Below are 12,369 nucleotides of genomic sequence, written 5' to 3'. Positions count from 1 at the left end.
ATTTTCTCCCAATCTATTGTCTTTTAACTTTTGTTTATAAGTCTTCACTTACCTTTCCTCAAGCAGTTCTTTCTCAATTTCTCAACCATCAGACGTTATATAAGTAGATGAAACTTACAACTGACTGCCCTCACTGGATCTCACAATCAACTTAAGAATAAATTCAGGCATCAGCCAAAGTATACAGATTTTTTAAATCTTTGCACAGGTTTTAAAATAATAGCTAACTTCCTTACAGCATAAAGCATTTTCTCACAAATCAAGAAGACTGTAACTCACCAGAAAAAAAAGGACAAAAGAAATAGACCAGTTCACATAGCACATCAAAAAAAAAGGCTCTTAAAAATATGAAGAGATCCTATAACTTAATTTCAAGCCTTAGAAAAATTTAAAATTTAAAAATTAGGGCCAGGCGCAGTGGTTCACGGCTGTAATCCCAGCACTTTGGGAGGCTGAAGCAGGCAGATCACGAGATCAGGAGATCGAGACCATCCTGGCCAACATGGTGAAACCCCGTCTCTACCAAAAATACAAAAATTAGCTGGGCGTGGTGGCACATGCCTGTAATCCCAGCTACTCGGGAGGCTGAGGCAGGAGAATCGCTTGAACCCGGGAGGCGGAGGTTGCAGTGAGCCAAGATCGTGCCCTGGTGACAGAGCAATCCTCACTCTCATTTAAAAGTGCAAATTAAAACTACAAATTAAATGTTCCTTTTTATTTCATAGACCAGTAAAGATTAAGAAGTTTTAAAATACACCCTACGTGGGTATAAAGAAATAGGCAGTCATACATTGCTGGTGAGAGCTTAAATTGCTATAGTTTAGCATTGTCTTTCCAAAATAAAAATGCACATATCCTTCAATTCATCAATTTAACATCTATCTAGAAATGTATCCTACAAAAAGACACTCATATTAAAAATGACATGCTTACAAGGTTATTCATTGTAGTAATGTCTGTAATAGCAATGACTGTTTACAACCTAAGTGTCAACTAATAGGGGACTGGCTAAATAAACTGTGGTACAGCCAAATGATGAAATATTATGCAGTTGTTTAAAAAATAAGGCAGATCTCTCTTTATGTGAATGTGAAAAAATCTTCAAGCTATGTTGTTAAGTGTAAAAAAGCAAGATACAGAAAAATGTATATATTTTGCTATAATTTGTATGTTGGTGGAAGGAATATATTAGTGCACATAAATTTATGTTTGTAAATGCTTAATTTCTGGAAGAACACACAACAAAAAGGATATAACAAATTGGTAATGCTTGCTTCTTGGGAGGGAATGGCTAGAAGATAATGAAAGGAAGGAATACTTTTCAATGTATATACTGTTTTGTACCTCTTGAATTTTGTACCAAGTGTTCATATTATCTAATCAAATAGAATTAATATATCAAATATATATGCAAACAAACTAAAATCTCACTGTAACTATACCAACCTTTCTACTGATACCTTTTAAATGATAGCACAGCAGGTTGCCATCATTTAGGTAGGGTATGTGGCTAATCTATTTGTGACAAAAGCAGAAATTCACTATCCTAGCTGCCCAACATCACCCCCTATGGAACTTTTGAAACCAGAAATTCTGACTTAGTAGGTCTGGGGTACAGTCTGGGCATCATAATTTTTTTAGTTCACAGGTGATGGTGACAGACAGTCAGAACTGAAAATAGCTGAGGTAGACCATGGCACAAGTAACTAAACATCCAGGTTCAATCTCCACCTAGGTCATAACCATAGTTTCATCACTAATCCTAACCACTTCACAAAGTTCTTAAGAAGGAACAGTTAAGAGTGTGTAGACGGCACAGTGAAAATCTTACCACCTCTCAATATATAAACAGATAAGTAGTATAATCTCTGTGTATTAAATGTAGTACATTTGCAACATTCATAGTAATAAGTTAATCTCATATAGCATTCTAGAAAGAACTTTGATAATAGTGGACTAGTGCCGAACAGGCCATCAACTGTGTGACACTTGCTGTCTCTGTTAGATTCTTCATTTGTAAAATGAAGGGTAAGAACCTTTATTTTCTCTACCTTCATGTTCTCTACCTTCCAGCTTTAAATTTCTATAATTGTCTAAGAATACAGATGTCTAAAAACAGCTATTGCTTAGTATAGACTTTAGGATAAAATAGGATCTTTCATCCGATTCACAGCTTAGGCCCATTTCAGTCCAGTGGGTTAGCGTCTCTTAACAGACCCTTCGATATGTATTACGTGCTGCTGAATTAATTAACAGTCACAGAAAAAAAATTTAGAATTCAAACGCTCTTATCTAATAAATCTTAAATATTTTTAAAACAGTGAATCATGCAAAACAAGTGTACTAAATACATTTAAACACTAAAATAAAGCATCTGATGTACTGCCTTAAAGCAAATGGTTCAAGTTAAAAAGCAATAATCAAAATGGTAGAAGGGATGTTAAAGACCATATCCAAACCTCTAATTTTACAAGTAAGGAAATACGGGCTCAGCAAGGTTAAAGAATTTGCCCAAAGTCATTGTCATTAATGACAGGAAAACAAATTTGTCATTTATGGTTCTCTGTATGTGTACTGATACAAACTTTTAATGTTTATCACTTTAGATAGGGGTTTTTGATAACTAAAATTACATACAAACCTAAAGAGATGCCATAAAAATGTCTTAATACACATAAAAAGCTTAACTTACATGAATATATGACTATACAACATTTTGTTTGCAGTTCTCAAAAGAGAATAGAACTTTATTAGTAGCAAAAACATGTAATCTGATATTATTGTCAAATAATTTCATAAAGCACATTAACAAGGAAATAGGATTAGCAGCTATGATTAAAGGATAAAATGATGGTTTTATTCTGGCTATATTAGTCACTTAAGGATCTATTCAAAGAGTTCTAAGTTTTAAAAAAACAACTCTATGAACTCACTGAGGTTTACCTCCCGTCTTCCACAGAGCAAATGATTAGCAGACTGCTCTGTGAACTTTTACAAAGAACCCTTTTCTCCCCAGTTTCTATCCATCTGAAAGATGGATTCTTCCTCCATCCTAAATAACTCATCATCTCATTTCAAATATCTGATAAAAATGAACTCTTAGCATGAATACACCCTTTTTAATCTCTTCCACTCAACTTTACTGGATAGTCAATAAAATGTTTTGATTTATACTTCACAGAATTAAATAGACGGTTTTATTCAAACCTGTCATGTCAAATTAAAACACTTAATGTGTAAAGTATGAATATGAGATTTTCTTTTCCAAGCTCCAGGACCAATTAGTAACAATATTCAAATGCCCTAATAATAAGTAATCAGAGCATTAAGAAAAATTTAATCTTTTTCCTAACAAGGCAACTTTGGCATCAATTCAAACCTAAGCTTAGTGGGCACTGTGATTTTGAAAGGGATGAACTTCCTGATGCAGACTCATACAGTTTTCTCTTAATACTAACACCTTCTAGTTTTTTTAGGTATATAATTTATAAAATACTTTCATATCTAGTAATTATCCACAGGATAACATTGTGAGGTAGGGCATATTCTAAAGGCCTATTCTGTTCTAGGCATTGTGCTGACACTGGGATGATTTTTTAAAAATGAACAAGAATCAATTCTATCTTGAAAGAGCTCACAATCTAACAGGAGAAGTGAACAAATGATTTCTATGAAATGTGCTATAATAAGGAAATGAGCAAGGAATTGTGTTCCCCAGCAGCAGAGATGCTGGCCAGAGATGGCACTGGAAGTGTCTCAGAAGGTTTTGGGAAGGAGATCACATAGAGCAGGCTTTTGAGGGATGAGTAGGAGCTTCCTGACATAAAGATGGGGTGGAGTAAAGAAGAAAGACAATCCCAAGCAGAGGGAACAACCTGTATACAATGGATAGTGGAAAAGCATCATTCCCATTTAAAAGATGCGGAAGGTAAGCTTCAAGATAAGTGAGCTGGCTAACGCCATATGAAGATTAATTAACAACGTTTAAAGAAGAATATAGGTCTTCAGATTTTAATCAGCTTTGTACACCTGGAAACTCCAGTATACATTGGACAAGAACATCAGATGAAGATTAGTTTTTATCTCCTACTTTACTCCTTCCTAAGAGATGGTCGGTGTATGACCCAGATCCTGGGGAGTGAGAAAGAGCAGGCAGAGATGAGGAGGGGCAGAGTAGGGAGGGAGGCTTATTTAAACCTCATAACAACCCGTGAGATAGGTATTTTTACTATCCCCATTTTATATATGAGAATATGAAGGCCCAAAGACATTAACAAAAGTTGGAAATTAGGTGAAGATTCAAACCCAGGTAACTAACTTTTTCACCCAGCCTCTAAGCTCAAGCACTTAACCATACCCTATAGATCTTCCCTACTCTGTCAAATAACCCTAGGCTATTCTTGGTCTGAAGACACCAGAGAAACTAAGTGAGTTTTGGAACACATAGTCCCACAGATCTCGCACTGTACCACACATCTGAAAATTCACACAAAATTTTCCCATTTGGCTCTCTTATTGATCTGGTATTCCTTGAGTAGATAAGCCCACACATATGGTGGCATGGGTGCTCTCCGCAACATTTTTACAATCTAATGTAATTGGATAAGAGGAAACTTAACAAGTGCTAATCAAAAAGGAGGTCACCAAATAACAGCATGAAGCCTGAAGATACATAAAGGAGGAAGCCCCAATCCCTCTTTTCTGTTTGAATACGGTTTTTTTTTTTTTTTTTTTTTTGAGGGGAGGAGGGAGCATGCAAATGTGTTTCAGGTGTTCTAGCATACTTGCTACTCGCTACACAGGAGTGCAGACCGAAGAATGGAGTCGAGTACACCCCTAATTTCCTTTATCAAGGGTTCATATGACAACCTTAGGATATCAAACAACCAAACTCACCTCTTGAAAAAGTTTAAGGAAGCAGACAATTCAGAACTGTCATGGTTTCCTAGCGCAAACTGCAGCAAATCCAGGGTTGCTGACAATATTTTGTCTTATAGATGGATCTCGAATTCCCTGGGTTCGTTTGAGCGCATATAAAACACCTGAAACATATTTGCATGTCCCTTCTTCCCTCCTCCCCAGCCCCCCGGCAAAAAAAAAAAAAAAAGTACACTCAAGCAAAAAAGGGGTATTGGGGCTTCATCCTTTATATATATTGAGGTCTCATGTTGTTATTTTGTGACCTCCACCTTTTTGGTTACCACTTTTTGTTAAGTTTCCTCTTGTCCAATAGACAAATATCTGTCCAACTGACAGATATTTCACCTTGTGAAGTATAAGGGGAAATAATTACAGGAATGAAATCCCTAAAGAAGGTTATGGACTATTATCTCTTGAACATTCAAGATACATAAACCAATCCATCCTCACTTTTCACTGGGGTGATGTGCAGTTTAAAAGTCCTATGCAAGTCCAGAAATAAGAAAATTTCTTCAGGCTAATTTTCAGCCCCTACAGATCTCTAACTCTCCAGAAAAGAGGCTCTCAATCAGTAGTATAAAATCTGCCAGCACATCTCCTAGTGGGCACTATCAGGCTTTCTTCCAAGGTTTCCTACTGTGGTGAAGAGAAAAGCTGACACGGTTACACCCTCCCCAAGCTGCTTAATATCTTGTCAGAACCACCACCATCTCATTTCTGTGACCTTGACACCTGCTAATGACTCTTCCAACCCCTCAGTCCCCACCCTACAAAACCCACATGTTAGTTTCAGGGAAACAGAAAACAGCATCTCTTCACAAGGTTCTGAATGTCAACCAACTGTGGATTACATCATTTAAAAGGAGGACAAAGAAATGGGAAGAGAGCTTCTGTATATAAGTATACAAATACATTTTTTTTTTCTAGAAAGCAGACACTCCATAACCTGAGCTATAAGATAAGCAATTTAAAAAGCAAGAAACTGACTAGGATAACAGATAGAATACTTCAACTGTGGTTAAAGCAGTAATATCATTCCCAGCAGCTGGATGATCAATTTCCAAGCCAGGGTTGCTTTAAACCATAGAAACAAAGTGGTTTTTTGTTTTTCTTTTTTTTAACGTGTAGACCCAAGTTTCACTTACAAAACTGTTCTTAGTGGTCTTTGGCATGGGGCAGACAAAAGCACAGGACAACTAAGTCCTTCTGGAAACCCTAACCCTCAATTCCAAGACATGTGTATATGTAGTTCCATGGTAAAACCTGCAGTTACGTACCAGTGAGTCTCCAATAGACAATGCCTAGCATCAAGTGGCACTAAGAAAGTGGTAAAAATCTGGAAAATCATATAAAGGGAGAAACTTTGGCCCATTTACAGTTTTCCCAAATGTTAAATTAGATATATGCAAAAGTTGAAAACAAAATTTTCCCCTCAAATATAAGGTTACAGAAAAAAGAAAAAATAAATAAAATTTAATCTGAATTCTGAAAAGGTTTTATGCCCTAGAAAGTAACTTTAATTTTGGGAACTAAGATCTACCTCTCTGGTGTCACTTTCCAGGTTTTAAGAACTGTAATCTCTTAAGAGCCCCAGGACTACCTCAGGGAATAAAAAGATAAGAAAAGTTAACATGTCTGCTTCTGAGGTTTCATAAAATCCCAAATACGTGAACCACCTGAAAAGAGGAAAAGTGGGAGAATGTGAGCTCAACAGTACTGGTATTAGAGGAGAGGAAAATTTTACATCCTGCCCAGGAAAGAATTGTTAGCCACTTTAATGCAAGTCAATTTTCTTCAAAGTGAAAAGTACGCCCTCATAATTGAGGGTTATTTATAAGAAACATGAAGCATGTTTCCAATCTGAGAATACTGCATGAAGAAAATAATGCTAATTTTCGACAAATGCAAAAATAAATGTTATTGATCTCTCTTACAAACAGAAAACAAAAAGCACTTCATCTAAATAAACCACTGTGAAAAAAAAAATGGCAACCTGACACCAAAGGGTCGTTTTTAAAACTAAAATGTTCAAATGACAGAACTCAAATAATCTGTCCACAGTAATGCTCGGACAACTCTGAGCAAAATTTCGTATTTAGTCAACTGGTAGGCTCGCTCACTAAAGTAGCAATTACACGCATGAGAAGGAAGGGAATTAAGCGGGCTGAGTGCGGGCTGGGTGATTGTGTTTTGAGACCTGCTCACAGGAAGCCACTACATCCTGCCTTTAGTCCCGCCTGTCACGCCGTCCCTCGATTCAAGTCCCGGCCGCAGCGAGGTGGGGCAAGTACAGGTGTCCCGCCGAGCTCCTCCCGGGGCGCTCACCCGCGAACAGACCGCGCGGTAGCCACTCGGGCCCCAGGGCGGCCCGTTTCCTGCAGCTCAGGGCGCCTTTTTCAACCTCTCCCAGGCTCGCCGAGCCCAGGAAACGAACAGCCCCCTCCCCTCGGGCCAGCCCCACTTCCCAGCCCGCCACCTCCTCGGGCCGCGCCTCCGTATAATTACTGCTCGGCTCCCACCGCGGGGCCACTCCCCAGCGCCCGCAGCCGCGCGAAGGCCTGAGTCTGAGGGCGGCCGGAAGCTCCTCACGCCCCCGGACCGCGCCCCCGGCCGCGCCCCGGACTCCAGCGTCCCCGCGTCCAGGCCGCTCCCCACGACCGAGCCCCTCACGCCGGCGCAGCCCGGGCTCTCCCACCCCAGGCCCATCTCCAGCTCCCACTCCCTCCGGAGAGCAGCAGCCCCGGCCCACGCCGCCCCGTCGAGGCGACGCCGCCCCCCAACACACCCCCTTCCAGCCTCAACCGCGCCCGGCCCAGGCCCCCTCCCGGGCCCGCGATCCCAGCGCAGCTCGGCGCCGCCACCGCCGCGAACCCGCCGCCCCCTCAGCCTCGCGCCCAGCGCCGCCAGGGCGTCCCCTCAGCCCAGCCCCCGCTTACAGATCTTGCCCCGCAGGCTCTGCAACACTCGAACCTCGCGACTGTCCTGGTCCCCGGCCTCGGGCTCTGCAGTCGCACTCGCCGCTGGCGCCTCGGAAGAAGCCGCCGCAGCAGCAGGCGCCGCCGCCGCCATGGTGCCGCCCGGCCCGTGCCGCAGCCCTGCCGCCTGCGTAGCCGGGCGAGGCGGAGCCCAGCAGCGGCCTAGGCCCAGGCCAGCCGCGCGCCTGGCCCCGCCCCCGGGCCTCGGCCCGACTCGCCCCGCCCCGCCCCGCCCGCCGCGGCCCCGCCCCCGCCCCCCCCGGGTCTCCATTCACCGCCTTCGCCACCCCCGAGCCGGGCTACCCTGCAGAGAACCGTACTCCCGGCTTGGGGCGCTGGCTAAGGGTAGCTCCCAGTCGTGGCTCTGAGCGGCCTTAAAATCCCCACCAGGAGAACGCCCCGGCCCTCCCGTGATCCCTAAATCCTCCCGGGAATTGGGCTCCCCCAATGAATAGACCTGCACATCTCCTAACGCTCGCGGGAAATACAGGCCCTTCCCAATCAGGGAAACTCCCTGTGGGAAGAAAATAGAATGGAATTTGGCAGGTGGGTGGACCTCAAAAGTATCTTATTCAAAAGGAGGCAAGAGATGCATTTGAGGCTCTTCCAGTATTATCCAAATACTCCCCGCCAGCAAGCCAAACTCCTCCCACACAAATACTCTTTACTAGGACCAATTCTCTGCAAAACCTGGTTCAAGAAAAGGACCAGCCACCCCCAACTCCAGCGTGAGTGCAGTGCCTGAGACCCTCTCATAGAGAAATTCTGAAGCATTTACCATCACTTTTGTATTTCAGGAACAGAAAAAGCAAAGAAGGGCTCCCCCCCGCCACCGCCACCACTACTAAAAGTTGGCTTTGTTAAAAAGTTGACTGACCCTAGGAAATGTGTAAATCTTTGACTAATTGTTAGCTTTATTTCAAGGGAACTCTTTACAGTGAGTAAACTGCATGAATAATACCCTGGTATGTGATGAGGAAGACAATTTCCTGGTGTTGAGGTTGTTAACTACGCTGCCCTAAGAAGGAAGAAACTGTGACTTAATCGGGCAGGGTAATTCTTTTCCAGGGCAACAACAGGAATAAGCCAGTCAGTCAACAAATATTTTTTGAGGGTCAGACATAGTGATGGCCTCAGACCTCAGAGACTACACAAAGGTCAAGATGAAGAGAGCTCCAGCTCATTCTGGAGGGAGACACAGAAAAGGCCAGAGGCACTGGGAGATAAGAAATAGGACGGGGAAACCTGAAAACTGAAGACAAACGCGCCGCCTGTGCAAAGGCTGGACAGCCCCAGAGAATGGTCAGAGTTTAACATGGACCTGGCCAGCGAAGCTTCCAGTTCTGCCTGTGTTGCAGGTGACTTCTATTTCCCCATGTGATCTTTACACTTGTTGGATAAAGTGAACCACTTCCTCTTATATGAATGTTTTGCTGTCATTTCAAACATAAGTCCAAAACTTAATTTCCTGTCTCCCTTTCCAAATCTGAGTTCACATCTTATACTGTTACTCAGGCCAGAAACTTTGACTTTTTCTTATCCCTTGTCCCAATGCTGTTTTCAGTTGCCACATCCTTCTGACTCTGCTGAAATCTCTTCCTTCCTTTCCATTCTCTGTCATTGCCCTTGTTAAAATTATTCTCATTTAAAGAGTATCAACGTGTTACAGGGTTTTTTCCCCCTTATTTTTAAAGGCATCCCTTTTTAGAATCAGACATAGAGCCTGTTTCTACCCCTTTTACATTTGGGCAAGTTACTCAACCTTCCTAAACCTGTTTCTGTTTCTTCTCTTTCTTTCTTTCTTTTTTTTTTTGACAGTCTTGCTCTGTTGCCTAGGCTGGAGTGCAGTGGCACGATCTCAGCTCACTGCAGCTTCAACTTCCTGGGCTCAAGCTATCCTCCCATGTCAGCCTCCTAAGTAGCTGGGACTACAGGTGCGCGCCACCATGTCCAGTTAATTTTTGTATTTTTGGTAGAGATGGGGTTTTGCCATGTTGCCCAGGCTGGTCTTGAACTTCTGGGCTCAAGTGATCCATCCGCGTCAGCCTCCCAAAGTGCTGGGTGTAAGCCACTGCGCCCGGTTGAACCTGTTTCTTTAACAGTAAAGTGGAAATGCTAAACTTTCTTCTTTGAAGGGTTGTTATTAAGATTAAATAAGTATTGGGAGCAGGGTGTTAAGTGTCTAGTGGAATGCTGAGCACGTAGTAGGATTACCTCAGTAACTGACCTCATGCTTTTGACTGGAACTCTGGTAATAAGTCCCCCATCCCTCTCATTCCTCCTACATACCACTTAAATTAACTTTCCTAACAAAAAAAATGGAGCTTATCAGTTGCCTGCTCAAGAGGACATCAGTGGCTTCATTTATCCCTTCAGCCAGCTAGCAAGAGCACACTACAGGTAATGAACAATGCTAGAAATGACTAAAGTTCAAATTCTTCAGCCAAGAGTTGGAACTGGATCCAGCGTACCTGACTCCTCTGATCTCCAGCCACACTGAGCCCCTTTTCTCACCAGCCTGATTCTGGCCTTCCTCCTGCTTGGCCAAGCGATGCCTCATCCATCTATTTCTTTCTCCAATAAACAGAGAAATTATTTGAACCTTTGGACAAATGTATCCATGGATAAAGTATCAATGTACAAATGGACAAATGTATCCAATGGACAAACGTATCCAATGGACAAAGTATCAATATCTTTGTCCATTAGTGTCAAAATCTTCTAACTTCCCTTCCTTTTCACTAGCTTAACCCCAAGTGCATAACTCTGTTACTAAATGGTCACTAAAGGTATGAAAACAATTTTACATAAAGGGACACTCCACTTTTTTGTTCTTCCAGACAGTCTTCCTTTTGCAGATTTCGGACTTATACCGTTTCACTAAAATCCCCAAACTCCATTGCTTTTTCATCCGAAGTCACTTCTAATTATTCTGTTTTTACTGATACTTGCCTACTTTGAAGAGATCTTGGGTAATGTCAATGTTTCCTTAATATAAAATATTTGGAAAATAAAGTTTTCTTTCTTTCTTTCTTTTCTTTTTTTTTTTTTTAAGATGGAGTCTTGCTCTGTTGCCCAGGCTGGAATGCAGTGGCGCGATCTCGGCTCACTGCAAGCTCCGCCTCCCGGGTTCATGCCATCCTCCTGCCTCAGCCTTCCTAGTAGCTGGGACTACAGGCGCCCGCCACTGCGCCCGGCTAATTTTTTTTGTGTTTTTAGTAGAGACGTGGTTTCACTGTGGTCTTGATCTCCTGACCTCGTGATCCACCAGCCTCAGCCTCCTAAAGTGCTGGGATTACAGGCGTGAGCCACCGCGCCCGGCCGAAAATAAAGTTTTCTAAAGACTAACAAGACATACAGTATAATTACGAGAAGGCTGTTACATCTCATTCCCCTTATTGCCCTTGCATTATGTTTTAAATTCATCTAGAGTTCCTCTCTTTTCTTCATGATGTTTAGTAACTGGAACAATATTGCATCATCACAAACTTGAACTTCACTTCCTTCCTCAAATTATTAATGAATGTGTTTAAAGGCCATCCCTTCTATCCCTACCACTCTTCGTTCTGATGAGCAACCATTCACTACTATGTCTTTTCCTATTTCTTCACCAGTTTTAAACTCATTCAGTCATTTCAACCCATACATTGGCTTGCTTTATGGCAGATGATGTAGGAAAACTACATTGTCTCTTAATAAGAAGACTATAACCTGCAGCTAGAAACTAATTCCATAACTTGTCTGTTACGGCATATTTTTGAATCAGCACCCACCAACCTATAACATGGCATTGTAAGGGGTTGTCTCCTGGCCTTGAGTTATTTATTACATTTTTTCTGGCGAGTAGGAGGAAGAGAAATGTGCTTTCTTTTTAATATTTAAATGTAGATCATTTTCATAGGGCTGGACACTCATGAGACAGAACTGTTTCTGCCGGACTGGTGGGAAAGCAAGTTCCTTTGATCATTGATGACTTGGTTTCCCCATTTGCCCCATCAGAGTACTGTTTGATGTTAAGCATTATGCACTAATTACATTATTAAAAAAAAATCTCTAAATCCAACTGGCATTTTAAAAAATAAAATTGGAGTGGTAGGAGGTGAGGAGAGACCTTAAATGTTCAGAAAACATACTTTCAACATTTCATTTGAAGACCAAATAAGGCCATTGACAAGGCTGTGTGGACAAAAATGTGGACAAATTTTTACCTTAAAACCTCCAACTCCTTCGGTACAAATATTTTCAAGGCCAGATGTGATGGCTCATGCCTGTAATCCAACAGTCGGTTGTAATACCAACTTTGACAGGAGGATCACCTGAGGCTAGGAGTTCAGGAGCAGCCTGGGCAACACCGTGAGACTCTGTCTCTACAAATATAAATAAATAAATTAGCTGGGCATGGTGGCACGTGCCTGCCTGTACTCCTAGCTAATCAGGAGGCTGAGGTGGGAGGATTGTTTGAGCTCAGGAATTT

The 12,369-nt window shown here is 42.1% G+C and overlaps 1 protein-coding gene across 4 annotated transcripts in view, besides 1 other annotated feature; it reads right to left on the bottom strand.

The window, feature by feature from the left end:
• RASA2 (RAS p21 protein activator 2) overlaps nt 1-8,046 on the bottom strand; it is a 128,318-nt gene extending 120,272 nt beyond the window's left edge. For all 4 annotated transcript variants that reach the window (NM_001303245.3, NM_001303246.3, NM_006506.5 and 1 more), the window contains exon 1: nt 7,857-8,046. In NM_001303245.3, coding sequence (NP_001290174.1) covers nt 7,857-7,989 — 133 coding nt within the window. In that variant the 5' untranslated portion in view covers nt 7,990-8,046. The remainder of the gene's footprint in view (nt 1-7,856) is intronic.
• Nucleotides 7,258-8,137: a silencer, noted in NCBI's record as "silent region_14777". NCBI's record gives its function as "represses an Ori minimal core promoter by ATAC-STARR-seq in GM12878 lymphoblastoid cells {active_cell/tissue: GM12878}" and the evidence as "EXISTENCE:reporter gene assay evidence [ECO:0000049][PMID:35858748]".

This window comes from Homo sapiens, chromosome 3 (assembly GCF_000001405.40).
Source record: "Homo sapiens chromosome 3, GRCh38.p14 Primary Assembly".
NCBI lineage: Eukaryota > Metazoa > Chordata > Mammalia > Primates > Hominidae > Homo > Homo sapiens.
Note: the sequence above shows the minus strand (reverse complement) of the source record. Positions and strands in the feature narration are given on the sequence as shown.